Here is a 19447-nt window from a genome sequence, read left to right as displayed (position 1 = left end):
ATGAGGCTTTTATTATACCTTTTTAGGCAATGTAATTTTCTTTAAAAATGTGATAAAATACACATAAAACGTACCATCTCAACCATTTTTACGTTGTACAGTGTACATTCACATTGTTATGCAACAAATATACCCAGAACTATTTTCTTTCTTTCTTTTTTTTTTTTTTTGTTTGAGACTGAGTCTTGCTTTCTTGCCCAGGCTGGAGTGCAGTGGCACGATCTTGGCTCACTGCAAACTTCACCTCCCCGGTTCCAGCGATTCTCCTGCCTCAGCCCCCCGAGTAGCTGGGACTACAGGCACCCGCCACCACCCCCAGCTAATTTTTGTATTTTTAGTAGAGATGGGGTTTCACCATGTTGCCTAGACTGGTCTCGAACTACTGACCTCAAGTGATCCTCCTGCCTCAGCCTCCCAAAGTGCTGTGATTACAGGCATAAGCCACCTCGCTCGGCCCCAGAACTCTCTTCATCTTGCAAAACTGAAACTCTATACCCATTATGCAATGCCCTGGCAGCCACCATTCTACTTTCTGTCTCTATGAGTTTGATTACCCTAGGTATCTCATCTAAGGGGAATCATAGGGTATTTACACTTTTATGTCTAACTTATTTCACTCAATATAATGTCTTTAAGAGGCTTTTACCGCCAGGCATGGTGGCTCACTCCTGTAATCCCAGCAACTTTGGGAGGCCGAGGTGGATGGATCACCTGACGCAGGAGTTCGAGACCAGCCTGACCAACACGGAGAAACCCCATCTCTACTAAAAATACAAAATTAGCTGAGCGTGGTGGCACATGCCTGTAATCCCAGCTACTCAGGAGGCTGAGGCAGAATTGTTTGAACTCAGGAGGCGGAGGTTGCGGTGAGCCAAGATCGCACCATTGCACACCAGCCTGGGCAACAAGAGGGAAACTCCGTCTCAAAAAAAAAAAAAAAAAAAAAAAAAAAAAAAAAAGAGGCTTTTACCTTGAAGGCAAAGGGCAAGATGGAAAAAAAGCTGAACCACACGTTGAACACCTATGTCAACCCATCACCAAAGCCCACTCTGCCTTTAGGCATTTGACTACTTGGCCAATATATTCCCCTTATTATTTTAGTCCATTTGACTCTAATTTTCTATTGCTTGCAACTGAAAATACAAGTGATACCTTCCCCTTCTTTCCTCAAGTAGCATTAACATTTTGGCATATAGTCTTTCAGACTCTTCAACCTGCAGAATCTTTAATATACAATATATGAAGATGTGTATTTAATTCTTACATAAGTGAAATATACACTGTTGAGCAATCTCATTTTTTCTCTGAATCTTTCAATAGTAAGAAATACAGATCTAGTTTAAACTCTTATATACCTCTGTTATATGGATGAACCAAAGTTTATTTAACCAACCTATTATTGATAAACATTTAGGATCTTCTCAATGTTTTGATACTATAAAGATGTTGTAGTGAGCATCCTTCTAAACATTTCCTTTGAATACATTTCTAGAAGAAATGCCTTCCTGATGGTGGTACCAATTTTTATTCCTAGTAATGCTTGAGAGTTCCTGATTATCTTTTTTTTTTGGCGGGGGTGGGAGTGGAATGCAGTGGCTCGATCTTGGCTCACTGCAACCTCCTGTCTCAGCCTCCTGAGTAACTGGGATTACAGGTACGTGTCATCACGCCCAGCTAATTTTTGTATTGTTAGCAGAGACAAGGTTTCACCATGTTGGCCAGGCTGGTCTCTAACTCCTGACCTCCAGTGAGCCACCTGCCTCAGCCTCCCAAAGTGCTAGGATTATAGGTGTGAGCCATGGCACCCGGCCACTGATTCTCTATATTCTTTAAAATATGGAATATTATCCTGTCCATCAATTTCACCTTTGCTAATGTATAAAAATTACATCTTTTATTATAATTAGCAGTATTCTTTTGCAAGTGAAGTTGAGAAGTTTTAAATGTTTAATGGCCATTTCCTTTGTGTGTGTGTGAATTGCCTGTTCAATCCTTTGTTTGTCTATCAGGATATTTATTGTTTGCCTATTGAGTCATAAAAGCTCTTTATAGAACTAAGGATATTAAATCCTAGTCAATCATACATGTTGCAAATATTTTCTTCAGTTCATTCTTTGTATTTTAACTTTTTTTTTTTTTTTTTTTTTTTTTTTTTAGAGACGGAGTTTCACTTTTGTTGCCCAGGCTGGAGTTCAATGGCACGATCTCGGCTCACCACAACCTCAGCCTCCCAGGTTCAAGCAATTCTCCTGCCTCAGCTTCCCGAGTAGCTGGGATTACAGGCATGCGCCACCATGCCTGGCTAATTTTGTATTTTTAGTAGAGACTGGGTTTCTCCATGTTGGTTAGGCTGGCCTCAGACTCCTGACCTGAGGTGATTCACCTGCCTTGGCCTCCCAAAATGCTGGGATTGCAGGTGTGAGCTACAGTGACTGGCTGTATTTTAACTTTTTAAATGGAATCTTTTCCATATATAAGTTTTATTTATTTTAGCATTAGTTTTTCTTATATGAATATCCAATTGCCCCAACATCATTTATTTAATAAACCATCCCATTGTTTTTTGTTTTGTTTTGTTTTTGAGACCGAGTCTCCCTCCATCACCCAGGCTGGAGTGCAGCAGTGTGATCTCAGCTCACTGCAGCCTCTGCTGCCCGGGTTCAAGCTATTCTCCTGCCTCAACCTCCCGAGTAGCTGGGATTACAGGTGTGCACCCCCACATTCAGCTGATTTTTGTAATTTTAGTAGAGACAGGGTTTCACCATGTTGGCCAAGATGGTCTTGAATTCCTGACCTCAGGTGATCCGCCCGCCTTGGCCTCTCAAAGTGCTGGGATTACAGGCATGAGCCACCATGCCTGGCCCATCCCATTGTTTTGAAATGCCATTTTTATATCTTCATTTCCCACTCTAAAACTCCATAGTACATGGATTAGCTTTTGGACTTTCCATTTTGTTCCATTAATTTTTTTCTACCCGCATGCCAGTGCTTCTCATAATTCTTTTCTTTCTTTCAAATTTTTCTAGGCTTATCTCACATCTGTGTTTTCAGATGAACTTTAGAAACAATTTAACAAATTTTAAAATATCTATTGGGATTTTGTTTTGAATTCCATTGCAATCTTAGATTAATATGTGAAGAAGTGATTTATTTTTGAGTTGATTTATATATTGAGTTTTCCCTTCCATAAATATATATGTCTATTATTCAAGTTTTATTTTATTTATTTTAGCAGAATTTTTGTTTTTTCTGTAAAGGTCTTACACATTTTAGATTAAGTTTTATCGGAGGTATTTCACAGCTGTTGCTATTACTGTGAATCAAGTATTTTTCTAACTGGCATGTGGAGGGGTGGGGTGTGTGTGTGTGTGTGTGTGTGTGTGTGTGTCTGTTTATAAACATATTGCTGTGGTTTGAACGTGTGTTTCCAAAATTCATGTGGAAACTTAATCCCCATTGTGGTGGAACGGAAAGGTGAAGCTTCTGTGGAGGTGATTAAGTCATAAGGGCTCCTCATGAATGGATTAATGTCCTTATAAAAGAGGCTTCATTCAGAGAGAGTTTGCTGCTTTTCTGCCCTCTCATCTTCTACCATGTGAGGATAAAGCATTTGTCCCCTCTGGAGGACACAGCAACAAGGCGCCATCTTAAAAGGAGAGAAAGCAGCCCTCACCAGACATCAAACCTGCCCCTTGATCTTGAACTTCCCAGCCTTCAGAACTGTGAGACAGAAATTTCTATTATTTATAAATCACCCAGTTCGCAATATTTTGTTATAGCAGCACAAAAAGACTAAGACATACACACACATATGTATAGTATATACCCACTTAGCCACTCTCCTGAACTAATATTATTTTCTTTCTTGATATTTTCTCAGTAGATCAAATAGCCTCCAAATAATGATGTTTTTAACTCTCTTTCAAAAGTTATTTTTATTGTCCTATTGCATTAGCTAGGCCTTCCAGAAAAACATTTTTTAAAATTTAAAAATAGAACTAGTGGCTGACATCTTGACATCTTTCATCTTTGTCCTGTTTCCTTCTTCTTTTTTTTTTTTTTCTTGAGACAGTGTCTCCCTCTGTCAGCCAGGCTGGAGTGCAATGGCACGATTTCCGCTCACTGCAACCTCCACATCCTGGGCTCAAACAATCCTCCTGCCTCAGTCTCCCAAGCAGCTGGGACTACAGGTGTGTACCACCACACCTGGCTAATTTTTAAATGTTTTGTAGAGATGGGGGTCTCCCTATGTTGCCTAAGCTGGTCTCGAACTCCTGGCCTCAACTGATCTGCCTGCCTCGGCCTCCCAAAGTGCTGGGATTACAGGCGTGAGCCACCATGCCCAACCTCCTTCCTTTTGTTAATAACAGTTTTATTGAGATACAATTCACTTACTAAAAAATCCTCCCACCTTAGCCTCCTGAGTAGCTGGGATTACAGGCATATACCAACACACCTGGCATGACAATTCAGTGTTTTTTAGAAAGCTGAGGTGGATCCTAAAGTCACTAGCAGCTGGAGGCTGTCAACCAGCTACATTCCTTGTAGCTGAATGGCAAGTTTTCTTTTTTCTTAATAGAGTCAGGGCAGGCTGGGTGAGGTGGCTCACACCTGTAATGCCAACATTTTGGGAGGCTGAGGTGGGCAGATGGTTCGAATCTAAGAGTTCGATTCCAGCCTGGGCAACATGGTGAAACCCCATCTCTACAAAGCATACAAAAATGAGCCAGGCGTGATGGCACACTTGTAGTCCCAGCTACTTGGGAGGATGATGTGGGAGGATTGCTTGAGCCCGGGAGGTCAAGGCTGCAGTGACCCAAGATTGCGCCACTGTACTCCAGCCTGGGTGACTCAGGAAGACCCTGTCTCAAAGAAAAAAAAAATAGAGTCAGGGAGTCTCACTATGTTGCCCAGGCTGGTCTGGAACTCCTGGCCTCAAGCAGTCCTCCTGCCTCAGCACCCCTATATTGCCATATTTGTATTGTAATTTTTTTTTTTTTTAGACAGAGTCTTGCTCTGTTGCCCAGGCTAGAGTGCAGTGGCATGATCTTGGCTCACTGCAACCTCCACCTCCCGGGTTCAAGCAATTCTCCTACCTCAGCCTCCCGAGTAGCTGGGATTACAGGCGTCCACCACCACTCCTGGCTAATTTTTGTATTTTTGGTAGAGTTGGGGTTTCGCCATGTTGGCCAGGCTGGTCTCAAACTCCTGACCTCAGGTGATCCACCCACTTCAGCCTCCCAAAGTGCTGGGATTACAGGCGTGAGCCACCGTGCCCAGCCTGCATAATTTTTTACATGTATGTTCTCACACGAACTTTAGGATATCCTCTCCTCCTTTCTTAGATAATTCTTTGTATTCCCCAAAGTGCCTAGCACGATTTCTTGCCCATGGTAGAACCTCATTAAATATGTGTAAAATAAATTAGTAAGTACCTGCCCATTGACTTCAGGACCTTTAGATAATTTGGGGTAGAAAAGTATACAATGCAGTCTTTACAATACAGCCCACAAATGGCAAATGTTTAACAACTGGCTTTTGGGAATACTGATTTGTAGTGTTTGCTAATTTTCAGGTATAAATACTCCTACCATGGTCAATTTCAAGCTGCCCACATAACATTAGCCAGGATGCAAAATTCCTGAAAATTTAACAATCAGTTCTCTCAAGCTGATAACAAGCCACCTCCAGCATGCCACTGGTCCTTACATTCAAAGAGTTTTTGTGTGTGTTTTTCCTTCGGATTTTTATTTATTGAAAGATAAAATTAGAATAATATTAAAGTTTTAAAAAGTAATTCACCTATAATTCAGCTACTCTAAACCCAACATAACTTTATTTTTCTTGTTCTCTTTCAGTCTTTGCTTCACACATGCATATTTTAAGTAGTGTAATTATCCAATTTTAAAAAGTATTGTGACAAATTTTAAACATATGCAAAATAGACAGAATAAAATAATGAACCCCATCTACTAGTACCTAGCACCTTAAAACATTAACCTGTGACCAGTCTTATTCCATCTACATCACCAGCTACTTGCCCCACCCACATACTTACTGTTTGAAACAAATTCTAGACATCATATCCTTCCATCTGTAAATATTTCAGCAGTAACCTTTCCATTTTTCATTCAGCTTTTTGCACTTGTAGCCTAAGGAAGACAAAGACATAAATAATTCAATGAAAACACTTTTAAGTATTCTGATATTGGCAGTAAGGGTTGATTTGGGGGGCAAAGGAAGAGTGTATAAAAGCTACAACATCTGGAGAGCTTTGTTACTGAGTCTTTTCATTTTTATCCCCATCCTGCTTTGTGTGGTAAAGTGCAGTAGAATCCCATTACAATTCCATGCGTTATCATATACACAACAATGTAACATGGACTGAAGTAATCATCAAAACAAATTTAAGGCCAGGCGCAGTGGCTCACGCCTGTAATCCCAGCACTTTGGGAGGCTGAGGTGGACAGATCACTTGAGGTCAGGGGTTCGAGACCAGCTTGGCCAACATGGTGAAACCCTGTCTCTACCAAAAATACAAGAATTAGCCAAATGTGGTGGCACATGCCTGTAATCCCAGCCACTTGGGAGGCTGAGGCACAAAGAATCGCTTGAACCCGGGAGACGGAGGTTGCAGTGAGCTGAGATCGTGCCATTGCACTCCAGCCTGGGCCTGGGCAGCAGAGTAAGTCTCTGTCTCAAAAAAAAAAAAAACAAAAATTATTTAATAGAACTAAATCCTAAAGCAGTTATTAGCCATTCTCTCCAGTGTCAGCTATTTAATTTAATTTAATTAATTAATTAATTTTTTTTTTCTGAGATGGAGTCTCGCTCTGTCCCCCCAGGCTGGAGTTACAGTGGCATGATCTCAGCTCACTGCAACCAATCCTCCTGCCTCAGCTTCCTGAGTAGCTAGGATTACAGGAGTGTGCCTCTACGCCCAGCTAATTTTTGTATTTTTAGTAGAGACAGGGTTTCATCATGCAGGCCAGGTTACTCTCGAACCCTTGACTTCATGATCCACCCATCTCGGCCTCCCAAAGTGCTGGGATGACAGGCGTGAGCCACCACACCTGGCCAACGTCAGCTATTTTAAAAGACTTCACTATAAACCCCGTTGGACAAATTTTATTTTTTACATTTTCCATCTGATTATTCATTGATCAGACATTTTCAGAGAGATAGATTCTTGTCTCCTTCCCTCATCCCATTATTTCATGCTGTAGTGTCATGAATGGTGTTACCCCTCAACCCCTGAGGGAAGATCGGTATAGAGGAGACAGTGTTGAAGTGCAGCAGCAAATAGAAATTTGACAAACACGAAATCCTCATTATTCCCATATTTCCCACATAAGGCATTTGACATTCTGGTGGAATAACTCACCAGTGTAAACTAGGGGACCAGAGACTGCCCTTGTTAGTTTTCTAACCCCATTGGACTATGAGTTACAATTCTAGGCACGTATACTATCTTTTACCCTGGCTCTACCCTGTAAGGAAGATATTATGATGACAAATTTGCAGATGAGAAAACCAAGATTCAGAAAGATGTACACAAGAGCAAACGCTTAAATGTGGTAGAGCCAGGATCTGAACCCTAGCGCATCAGTTAGGGCTATTTTGGTTGCAAACAAAAAGAACTGGCTAAGTTCAGCCCAAAAAGGGGGCCTTAGTCAGAGGGATATTGAGCAGCCCCCAGAATGAATAGGAAGCTGAAGGAGACATGCTAGAAGAAGGGCTGCAGGGATGACCCCATCCACAGTCTGGAAAGAGTGAACTCAATCTGTGACATTTCCAGTCACCAATTCTGTCTCATGTCAGAGTCCCACATTCTCTCCCCACAAGATGTAAGTATGCTTCATTATGGCTTTTAAAAATTGTGGTAAAAAATATACAACATAACTTTTGGGTTTGGTTGTTTGTTTTGAGACAGGATCTCACTCTGTTGTGTGGGCTGGAGTGCAGGGGCACAATCACGGCTCACTGCAGCCTTGACCTCTCAGGCTCAAGCCATCCTACCATCTCAGCCTCCTGAGTAGCTGGGACTACAGGTGCACACCACTACACCCAGCTAATTTTTTATATATATATATTTTTTGTAAAGACGAGGTTTTGCCATGTTGCCCAGGTTGGTCTCAAACTCCTGGGCTCAAGCCATCCACCTGACTTAGCCTCCCAAAGTGCTGGGATTATAGGCATGAACCACCATGCCCAGCAGTATGTATATAACATAACTTTACCATTTTAACCATGTTTAAGTGTACAGTTCAGTGGCATTAAGTACATTCACATTAGCTTTGCAATTTCATTTTTGGCCTTTAGTTATACCTTTCAAATCATATATCTACAGAATCTGGGGAAGAGAGAGATCTTTACATACTAAGGTATGTAAATACAACTACAGGAACTTACCAAACACAAAATTAGGGAAATAGAGAAAAATTGATTGGAGGTAAGAGAGAGAAATAAACAGAGCAGGCAAGGCCCTCCTCTCTGGCACTCAGTGAATGTACACCCCAAGTGAACAAGAAGTGTAAACCTCAGGCACCCACAGGAACCTTCTGCTTCTCATAGTCGGGCATCTCTCCAGGCTGAGGGGGATTCTGAACTTAGATTTGTATTTTGCTATAATACTGTACCAAACACAAACAAGTACTTCTCCAACTATTAATAGTACCTGAAAAAACAATGATCTGTCCTAATGCTAGGGGAAAAACTGGGTGAGAGTTAAAAGATTGGGACAGCTTGAGGCCTTCCTAAAAGATTTCCAAAGGCAATTTTTATTATATTCAATGTTCATCTATATGCTGACCTTTGGACTTCACTCAGGTGAGATACTATCCCCTGTACATTTGCCTGGATTGCAGTAGTAGAGCATTAACTTATACCAAAAATCATGACATTGTAAAAAAAAAAAAAATGGTGAGTGGGAGTACAGGAAAAGAATGACAGACAGAAAGAAGTTCTTATTAGAGAATTTATGGGTTTCCTTGTTTGTAGGACACTCTATAGCAGCACTGTCCAACAGAAACATAATATAGGCCACATAAGTAATTTTAAATTTTCTTGTAGCTGCTGTTTTTGTTGTTGTTGTTGTTGTTGTTTTAATTACACCAGAGCTGCCAGTTAAAGCCACATTATTTTTTAAAGGAAAAAGAAACAGGTGAAATTGGCCAGGTGCAGTGCCTCACACCTGTAATCCCAGCACTTTGGGAGGCTGAAGCAGGCAGATCACTTGAGGCCAGGATTTCAAGACCAGCATGCAGAGGCCAACATGGCAAAACCCCGTCTCTACTAAAAATACAAAAATTAGCTGGGCGTGGTAGTGCATCCCTGTAATCCCAGCTACTCAGGTAGCCGAGGCAAGCAAATCTCTTAAACCTGGAGGCAGAGGTTGCAGTGAGCTGAGATCGCACCACTGCATTCCAGCCTGGGCGATAGAGCAAAACTCTGTCTCAAAAAAAGAAAAAAAACAGGTGAGACAAACAATATAGTTAATTCAACTTAATATATATCTAAATTTTTTTTTTTTGAGACAGAGTTTCACTCTTGTTGCCCAGGCTGGAGTGCAATGGCGCGATCTCGGTTCACTGCAACCTCCGCCTCCCAGGTTCAAACGATTCTCCTGCCTCAGCCTCCCAAGTAGCTGGGATTACAGGCATGTGCCACCAAGCCCGGCTAATTTTTTTGTATTTGAAGTAGAGATGGGGTTTCACCATGTTGCTCAGGCTGGTCTCGAACTCCTGACATCAGGTGATCCACCTGCCTCAGCCTCCAAAAGCCACCGTTCCTGGCCATATATTAAAAATATTATCAGGCCAGGTGCAGTGGCTCATACCTGTAATCCCAGCACTTTGGAAGGTTAAGGCAGGTGGATCACAAGGTCAGGAGTTTGAGACCAGCCGGGCCAATATGGTGAAACCCTGTCTCTACTAAAAATACAAAAAAATTTGCTGGGCGTGGTGGCGCATGCCTGTAATCCCAGCTACTCGGGAGGCTGAGGCAGAATTCCTGGAACCCAGGAGGCGGAGGTTGCAGTGAGCTGAGATTGCACCACTATACTCCAGCCTTGGTGACAGAGCAAGACTCCATCTCAAAAAAAAAAAAAAAAAAAAAAAAAATATATATATATATATATATATAAAATCAACATGTAATCCGTATAACAATTATTAAGGACATATTTTACATCTTTTTTATATTCAGTGTGTATTTTGCACTTACAGTGCATCTCAATTCCAAGTGACCACAAGGGTGACATGTGAACAAGGTGAAATGTGGTTAGTGACGTCCTTATTGGACAGTGCATGTCTTGAACAAATAAATCTGTCATTTTCTGGAAAGTTTGGTCTAATGGGCTAACATTTGAGGGAAAGATGTGGGAATATATATAGTTCTATATCAAAACTTCACCTGCCAGAGCTAACGAAGACTTCTTTGCATCCTAGATTTAAAAGTAGGCAATAGTCTGCCTGTTGACAGAGAATGCAAACCCAAACTAAACCCTATAATGCACCCTTTGCAAAGAGAAGCAGTATCTCCTGAGGCAGAACATAGATCAATAGTTTCCAATTCCCCAACAAGCAGTGAATCATTATGTTTTCATAAGGATAATTCACAGTGCATTCCAATCAAGTCTAAATTATAGACAACAAGTCTATTCTTCAAGCCTCACTGCCTTTCATCCCAGAGGAGAAAACAGAAACAGCTAACAGAGAAAGCATGAAAAAGTACTCAAGTATTGAACTGTTGATTTCATTTAAAACAACAAATCCTGCTTTTTACGACATAAAGGAATGAAAGTAGGAGCTCAATTTTTACTACTTTGAAACAAAATTGAAAAACTGAGCTGAAAGAGCTTTGAGAAAAATGAGACAGATTTTAAAACCGTGAACACCATTCTACTAATTCTGTGCCTACGTAATGCCAAAGGAAATAAAGAACTAATTTATTCATGTCCTTAGGCAGGCACTGCACACTCACACATGCACATGCATGCACACACACACACCCGAAAATTTTCTGCATCTGATGCAGAAATCTTGAGCTCAAAATTTCACATAAAAATTCTTCCAGCTAGGCGTTGTGGCTTATGCCTGTAATCCCAGCACTTTGGGAGGCCAAGGCAGGCGGATCACCGAGGTCGGCAGTTTGAGACCAGCCTGATCAACATGGAGAAACCCCGTCTCAACTAAAAATACAAAATCAGCCAGGCATGGTGGTGCATGCCTGTAATCCCAGCTACTCAGGATGCTGAGGCAGGAGAATCGCTTGAACCCGGGAGGTAGAGGTTGCGGTAAGCCGAGATCGCGCCACTGCACTCCAGCTTGGGCAACAAGAGCGAAACTTCCTCTTAAAAAAAAAACAAAAAAAACCCAAAACTCTTCCATATAGCCGGGCGTGGTGGCACACACCTGTAATCCCAGCCACCGGGGTTAGGAGGTTGAGGCAGGAGAATCACTTGACCCCGGGAGAAGGAGGTTGCAGTGAGCTGAGATCATGCCACTCGATCTATCTCAAAAACAACAACAACAACAATAAGAACAAAACAAAACAAAATTCTTCCATAGTTAGGGACATCTGCAGGGCCTTGGAAATAGCAAATTGTGAAACTGACCTATTAGAAACATCTTCAAATGGCACACATAACTCATTCGGAAACAATCCTGCTGCATAGATGCTCAAAGTGAAAAATTACAAATCACAAAAGGAGATGTCACCGAGAGACTATAAGAGGGAGAGGCAGAAACAACAGACAAGAAAATATATACCCTGAAAACTAAAAATAATAGAACAATCTACAGAGATTTTTAAAGAAGTTTCTCTAAAGTGTTTAAGGAATGGATACCTTAGGGCATAAACAGGGCACTATATTTAAAAGTACCAATGTGGTCAAAGAACCAATTAGCAATTTCAGAAGTAAAAAAATATAATAATTGTGGGCCAGGCACAGTGGCTCACACTTGTAATGCCAGGCCTTTGGGAGGCCAAGGTGGGCGGATCACTTGAGGTCAGGAGTTCCAGACCAGCCTGGCCAACATGGCGAAACTCTGTCTCTACTAAAAATACAAAAATTAGCCAGGTGTGGTGGCAGGCACCTGTAATCCTAGCTACTTGGGAGGCTGAGGCACGAGAATCACTTAAAACTGGGAGGCGGAGGTCACAGTGAGCTGAGATTGTGCCACGGCACTCCAGCCTGGGCAACAGAGCACGATTCCGTCTCAAAAATCATCATCATCATCATCATCATCATTATCATCATTGTGAAAAGCACTTAACAGACAAATTACATAGTATATTAGACATTGCTAAAGCGAAATTAATGAATTGGAAACTGGATTTTAAAAAATCATCCAAAATGCAGCAAAACAGGTAACAAGATAAGGAAACTTTTAAAAAAACAGAGATGTAGAGAATAAAATGAGAAGACCCCACATATATCCAATAGAAGTTACAAATAAAGAAAATAAAGAAGAGGAAATATTTGGAGAAATAATGAGTGAAATGTTAAATATTTGATTTTTCAAACTGAAGTCTCCTAGCCAACGAAAATAACAATACATCTCACCTAAACACATTGAAGTAGAATTATAGAACATCAAAGTCAAAGAGAAAAATCTTAAAATTACCAGAGATGATAAAGCTTATCTTACAAAGGCGTGACTATTATTAGACTTATAGCAGACTTCTCATGAGCAACAGTAGATGCCAGACTATGGACTATCACCTCCCAAGTGCTGAGGAACAGTAACAGAATCAAACACTTTTACACTCTCACTCAAGACATTTCCAGACATAACAAAGATTAAGCACTTTGGGAGGCCAAGGTGGGTGGGTCATTTGAGCTCAGGAGTTTGAGACCAGCCTGGGCAATGTGGCAAAACCCTGTCTCTACAAAAAAATACAAAAAATCAGCCAGGCATGGTAGCATGCTTTTGTAATCTCACCTACTTGGGAGCTGAGGCAGGAGGATGGCTTAAGCCCAAAAGGTGGAGGCTGCAGTGAGCTGTGCTCACAACACTGCACTCCAGTCTGTGCCCTGTGTGACAAAGTGAGACCCTATCTGAAAAAAAAAAAAAAAAAAAAAATTGAGTTTATTTATTTATATATTTATTTATTTATTTATTTTTTATTTTTATTTATTTTTTTTTTTTGAGACGGAGTCTCGCTCTGTCGCCCAGGCTGGACTGCGGACTGCAGTGGCGCAATCTCGGCTCACTGCAAGCTCCGCTTCCCGGGTTCACGCCATTCTCCTGCCTCAGCCTCCCGAGTAGCTGGGACTACAGGCACCCGCCACCGCGCCCGGCTAATTTTTTGTATTTTTAGTAGAGACGGGGTTTCACCTTGTTAGCCAGGATGGTCTCGATCTCCTGACCTCATGATCCACCCGCCTCGGCCTCCCAAAGTGCTGGGATTACAGGCGTGAGCCACCGCGCCCGGCCTATTTTATTTTTTAAAAGGGAATTTTTTGCATCATGAATTTGTGTGTCATCCTTGCACAGGGACCACGCTAATCTTTTGTATTGTTCTACGCTAATCTTTTGTATTGTTCTAATTTTAGTATATGTGCTGCCAAAGTTAGCCCGAGTTTGCTTTTTACAGATTCTTGCTGAAAGAGCTATTCAAGGATATGTTCAGAAAGAAAGAAATTGAACTCTGAAGAAAAAAGTGGGAGCCGAGTGCAACTGTGAGCAAAGGAGCTAGTAAACATATTGGCAAATCTGCTAATAGCTTAAAGAAAGTATCACTAGCTGATGATATCTTAGGAATTAAAATTAAAAAAAAGAGAAGAAAATATCCTGACAGATGCACACAGTTGTAAAATCATCCTATGATGCAAAAAGTTACTTTAAGCAATATTTCATAAATATAAATTCTTTCAACAAGGAGACAAGTGCTAAATAGCATCCAATTAAAAGTGTATTCTGGGCCAGGCGTGGTGGCTCATGCCTGTAATTCCAGCACTTTGGGAGGCTGAGGTGGGCAGATCACCTGAGGTCAGGAGTTCGAGACTAGCCCGGCCAACATGGTGAAACCCCGTCCCTACTAAAAATACAAAAATTAGCTGGGTGTGGTGATACGAACCTGTAATCCCAGCTGCTCCGGAGGCTGAGGCAGAAGAATCACTTGAACCAGGGAGGCAGAGGTTGCAGTGAGCCAAGATCGTGCCACTGCACTCCAGCTTGGGCAACAGGGCAACACTCCACCTCAAAAAAAAAAAAAAAAAGAAAAAAAAAGTATATTCTTTGGCAAAAGCCTGAAGAATGTTATTTGATGTTTTAGATTGTCCTGGTTTTTATTGCTTTATCCTGCTTTTTTTAATGTGGGCCAGATGCAGTTGGTCATGCCTGTAATCCCAGCACTTTGGGAGGATGAGGCAAGAGGATCCTTTGAGGCCAGGAGTTTGAGACCAGCCTGGGAAACATAGGGAGACCTGAGCTCTACAGAAAATTAAAAAATTAGCCAGGTGTGGTAGTGCATCCCTGTAGTCCCAGCTATTTAAGAGGGTGATGTGGGAGGATCACTTGTGCCTGGGAGGTTGAGGCTGCAATGAACTGTGACTGTACCATTGCACTCCAGCCTGGGCAACAGAGTGAGACCCTGTCTCAAATAAATAACTAAATAAACAAGTAGGCTGAGTGCGGTGGCTCACGCCTGTAATCTCAGCACTCTGGGAGGCCAAGCCAGGTGGATCACCTGAGGTCAGGAGTCAAGACCAGCCTGGTCAACATGGTGAAACCCCACCTCTACTAAAAAATACAAAAATTAGTCGGGTGTGGTGGCATGCACCTGTAGTCCCAGCTACTTGGGAGGCTGAGGCAGGAGAATCGCTTGAACCAAGGAGGCAGAGGTTGCAGTCAGCCGAGATCATGACACTGCACTCCAGCCAGGGTGACAGAGCAAGACTCCGTCTCAAAAACAAACAAACAAACAGACAAACAAACAAACAAGTAAATAAAATGTGGCAATCAGTCAAAGGACAGTAGCTAAGAACACCCACCAAGTATTGAGCACAAAGACAAATCACACAAGCTCTTTTACTCAGTTTTCTTGTCACTAATGTGGGGGATTAGAGACATTTTAACAGGATTGCCATGAGGACTGAATGGAATTATCCATGTGAAAGTGCAGTCTGTAGCACAGTAGCCTGGATTGATTTAAAAAACAGTGTATTTGGGATGTCACTGATTATGGGGGTGGAAGTGAGGGAGGGACATTGAATAATTCTAAACAGAAATAATCATGGCTGCTCAGTAGTGCAAGGGAGAGCTACTTGAGCTCAGACCCCAGCAGGGTATGATTTTTCTTTCCAAAGGGATTTTCCTTTCTTTTTCTTTTTGTCTTTTTTTGAGGCAGGGTTTTACTTTGTCACCCAGGCTGGAGTACAGTGGCGCAATCTCGGCTCAATGTAGCCTCAACTTCCTGGGCTCCAATGATCCGCCCACCTCAGCCTCTCAAGTAGCTGGAACCACAGGCACACATCAACGTGCCAGCTAATTTTTTGCATTTTTTTTTTGAGAAGGAGTCTCGGTCTGTCGCCCAGGCTGGACTGCAGTGGCACAATCTCGGCTCATTGCAACGTCTGCTTCCCAGATTCAAGCGATTCTCATGGCTGCCTCCTGAGTGCTGCCTCCCAGACTGCTGGGATTACAAGCATGAGCCATCATGCCCTGCAGAAAGGAATTTTTCTTTATTTTTTTTAGAGACAAGGTCTCACTCTGATGCCCAGGCTGGACTCAAACTCCTGGGCTCCAGGATCCTCCCACCTCATCTTCTTGCGCTCAGCCAAAGGAAGTTGAGAAGTACACGAAGCACTCAGATTAGATGACCCAAGCCTAGAGATATGAGCAAGTTGTAGGAAGGAAGGAAAACATATTTTCATCCACCTCATAGGGTTGTTACGAGGACACAGTAAACATACAGTTAATGTTAGCTATTGTTATTATTAGAATGGAGCAAATATTGCATTGTTTGAGAAAAACAAAACTAAGTATATATGAAAGGCACAAATGTCCACTTACAGAACTTTAAAAAATCTTTTTTTTTATGTTTTGAGACACAGTCTCACTCTGTCACCCAGGCTGGAGTACAGTGGCATGATCTTGGCTCACTGCAACCTCCGCCTCCCAGGGTTCAAGCAATTCTTATGCCTCAGCCTCTCAAGTAGCTGGGATTACAGGCACATGCCACCATGCCCGGCTAATTTTTTGTATTTTTAGTAGAGACGGGGTTTCACCATGTTGGCCAGGCTGGTCTCGAACTCCTGACCTCAAAGTGATCTACCCAGCTTGGCCTCCCGAAGTGCTGGGATTACAGGCGACAGCCACCACGCCTGGCCTAGAACTTTTTTAAAGCAGATAAAATCCTCTCAAAATTACCGGAAGAAAAAAAAATCTGAAGAACATATACTTTACTGAAAGACAGAAAACAATATATGCCAAGCAAGCATAACAATAGAAAACAAAACAGAAAGACAGAATGAGAGTCACATCTAATAATTAAAATTATGTGAATGAAATAAACTGTTATTGAAAGAAATATATTTAAATTAGTCCAAAAACAGAATCAGACTACAAGACCCATATCTAAAATCAGAAATCGATAAAACTCAATGTTGTTGACAGTGGGGCAAACATGTCCTTAAATCCAGTGTTGGTAGGAGTAAAATTTCCAGAAGACAGTCAGGTAACTGTATCATAAAATGGACACACCATTGTATTGAACTTGTCCACTTCTAGAAATTACCCTGAGGAGAAAATTGCACAAAAGCAGAACACAGGATGTTTTTCACGTGTAGTTTACAATATTAAACAATGCAAACAACCGAAATGGCCAACAACAGGAGAAAGGTTGCATAAATCATGGTTTGTAAATATTACAAATAGCTGTTGATCATTAACAATCGTGGTGTTAGTCTACGGTTATTGACTTGGAAATCTACCCATTGCATATTCTCAGTAAATGTAGCAATTACAGAATAATATATAAATTATCATCTCACATATGTGAAACTATATTCATATACCTCTAGGTATATATACTGCATAAAGATGTCTAAAGGATATTCACCAAAATTGGTATGGATGCTATGGGCGGTGGGATTTTGGCGGTGACTTTTATTTCCTTCTTATGTTGGGTAAAATCACTGGTCATGAGAAACCCATTTTTCTGTATGTGTCTAAAAATGCATAAGCCTTTAAAATGACTTGGTCAGCCTCCCAAGATCCCATATGTCTGTGTGCTTCGTTCCTGTCATTCTCTTAAAGATAAGCTTTAAGGAGGGGAACATGACTGGTAGCTATCAGGAAAGCCATGCCCTGACTGGCTTCCTGCTCAAAGTGACCAACATGGGCTAGTTACGTAGATCCAGGATTGTGTCATCTCTAGGGCAGGATTGAAAGCCACTTTTAGGACCAGAATTGAAGAGTTACTGAATATAGGCCCTTCTCTGTTTATATATGTATGTACGTTTGTTTGTTTGTTTGTTTGTTTGTTAATCTGCCAACCCCATTCCCAGAACACCTGGTTTGGGATGATGGCATTCCTTCCTTTTTTTTTTTTTTGAGATGAAATCTTGCTCTGTGGTCCAGGCTGGAGTGCAGTGGCGCAATCTCAGCTCACTGCAACCTCTGCCTCCCGGTTCAAGCAGTTCTCCTGTCTCAGCCTCCCAAGTAGTTGGGATTACAGGCACGCACCACCACATCCGGCTAATTTTTGTATTTTTAGTGGAGATGGGGTTTCACCATATTGGTCGGACTAGTCTCGAACTCCCAACCTCAGGTGATCCACCTGCGTTGGCCTCCCAAAGTGCTGGGATTACAGGTGTGAGCCACCGCATCCGATCATGTATGTATGTACTTATTTATATAAAATTTGTCCAGCTGGGTGCGGTGGCTCATGCCTGTAATCCCAGCACTTTGGGAGCCTGAGGTGGGCAGATCATGAGGTCAGGAGTTCGAGACCAGCCTGACCAACATGGTGAAACCCCATCTCTACTAAAAATACAAGGCCAAGCATGTGGCTCACCTCTGTAATCCTAGCACTTTGGGAGGCTGAGGCGGGAGGATCACCTGAGGTTGAGAGTTCGAGACCACCCTGACCAACGTGGAGTAACCCTGTCTCTACTAAAAATACAGAATTAGCTAGGCCTGGTGGCGCATGCCTGTAATCCCAGCTACTAGGGAGGCTAAGGCAGGAGAATCGCTTGAAACTGGGAGGCGGAGGTTGCAGTGAGCCGAAGTTGCACCACTGCACTCCAGCCTGGGCAACAAGAGCAAAACTCTGTCTCAAAAACAAAAAACAAAAACAAAAATTACCCAGGCTTGGTGGTGCGTGCCTGTAATCCCAGCTACTCAGGAGGCTGAGACAGGAGAATTGCTTGAACCCAGGAGGCGGAGGTTGCAGTGAGCCGAGATCGTGGCACTGCACTCCAGCCTAGGCCACAGAGCGAGACTCCATCTCAAAAAAAAAAAAAAAAAAATTTGCAAAGCTTCCATAATGTCTATGAAAGAGCAAGTATGAAAATTTCCCAGCTGGGTGCGGTGGCTCACGCCTGTAATCCCAACACTTTGGGAGACTGAGGCAGGCTGATCACAAGGTCAGGAGTTCAAAACCAGCCTGGCCAACACAGTGAAACCCCGTCTCTACTAAAAATACAAAAAAATTAGCTGGGCGTGGTGGCATGTGCCTGTAGTCCCAGCTACTTGGGAGGCTGAGGCAGGAGAATCGCTTAAACCCGGGAGGTGGAGGTTGCAGTGAGCTGAGATCGCACCACTGCACTCCAGCTTGGGCAACAGAGTGAGACTTAGTCTCAAAAAAAAAAAAAAAAAAAGAGGAAAAAAAAGAAAATTTCCCCAAATTAGAAGGCTACAGTGACTAATTTCTGGGACTTTCTGGGGCTGCTCTGTGAATTGGGCAGCTGCACTGGGTGGCTGGCTGGCTGCTGAGAGTTCTTGCAGTACTGGCCCTGTTTGCAGCAGTGAGACCAAGTGAACCATGGAGGAGCCTCCTAATTCTTTCATTTATTGTTTGCCTTTTTTTTTTTTTGTAAAGCATCAATTGCTTTTGTAAAAACAAAGCTATTTTTTAAAGGACAGAATGGTCAACAGTGTCTGAGTATGATAAGGACTGAGTTGGGTCCAGTGGACTGAGCAACAGGGAAGTAGTGAGTGACCTAGTCAAGAATAGTATCTGTGTGGTGGTGGTGGTGGGGGTGGCTTTAAGAGAGTGAGGGAAGTGAGGAAGTGGAGAGAGAGAGAGTGAGTTTGGACAATTATTTCTGGAAGTCTGGCCGAGAAAAGAAGGCATGAGGTACAGCAAGGGGTGCCTAAAGGGAGGAAGGGGGAGGCAGAAAGAGGTACTAATTTTGTTTGTTTGCTTTGTTTGTATTTGTTTTTACTATTGAAAAGGAGCTAGTAGATAAGTGAATGATTCAGCAGAGAGAGAG

At 42.2% G+C, this 19447-nt stretch overlaps 1 long non-coding RNA gene and 1 pseudogene across 3 annotated transcripts in view; both read right to left on the bottom strand.

The window, feature by feature from the left end:
• LOC105370866 (uncharacterized) overlaps positions 1-19447 on the bottom strand; it is a 68011-nt gene that overhangs the window by 3468 nt on the left and 45096 nt on the right. For all 3 annotated transcript variants that reach the window (XR_932372.2, XR_932373.2, XR_932371.2), the window contains one exon: positions 6059-6152. This is a non-coding gene — a long non-coding RNA (uncharacterized LOC105370866). The remainder of the gene's footprint in view (positions 1-6058; positions 6153-19447) is intronic.
• Positions 13458-13585, bottom strand: LOC124903586 (uncharacterized; annotated as a pseudogene).

The sequence above is a fragment of the Homo sapiens genome, chromosome 15 (genome assembly GCF_000001405.40).
Source record: "Homo sapiens chromosome 15, GRCh38.p14 Primary Assembly".
NCBI classification, from domain to species: Eukaryota; Metazoa; Chordata; class Mammalia; order Primates; family Hominidae; genus Homo; species Homo sapiens.
The sequence above is the reverse complement of the archived record's forward strand: the minus strand, read 5'-3'. Positions and strand labels throughout refer to the sequence as shown.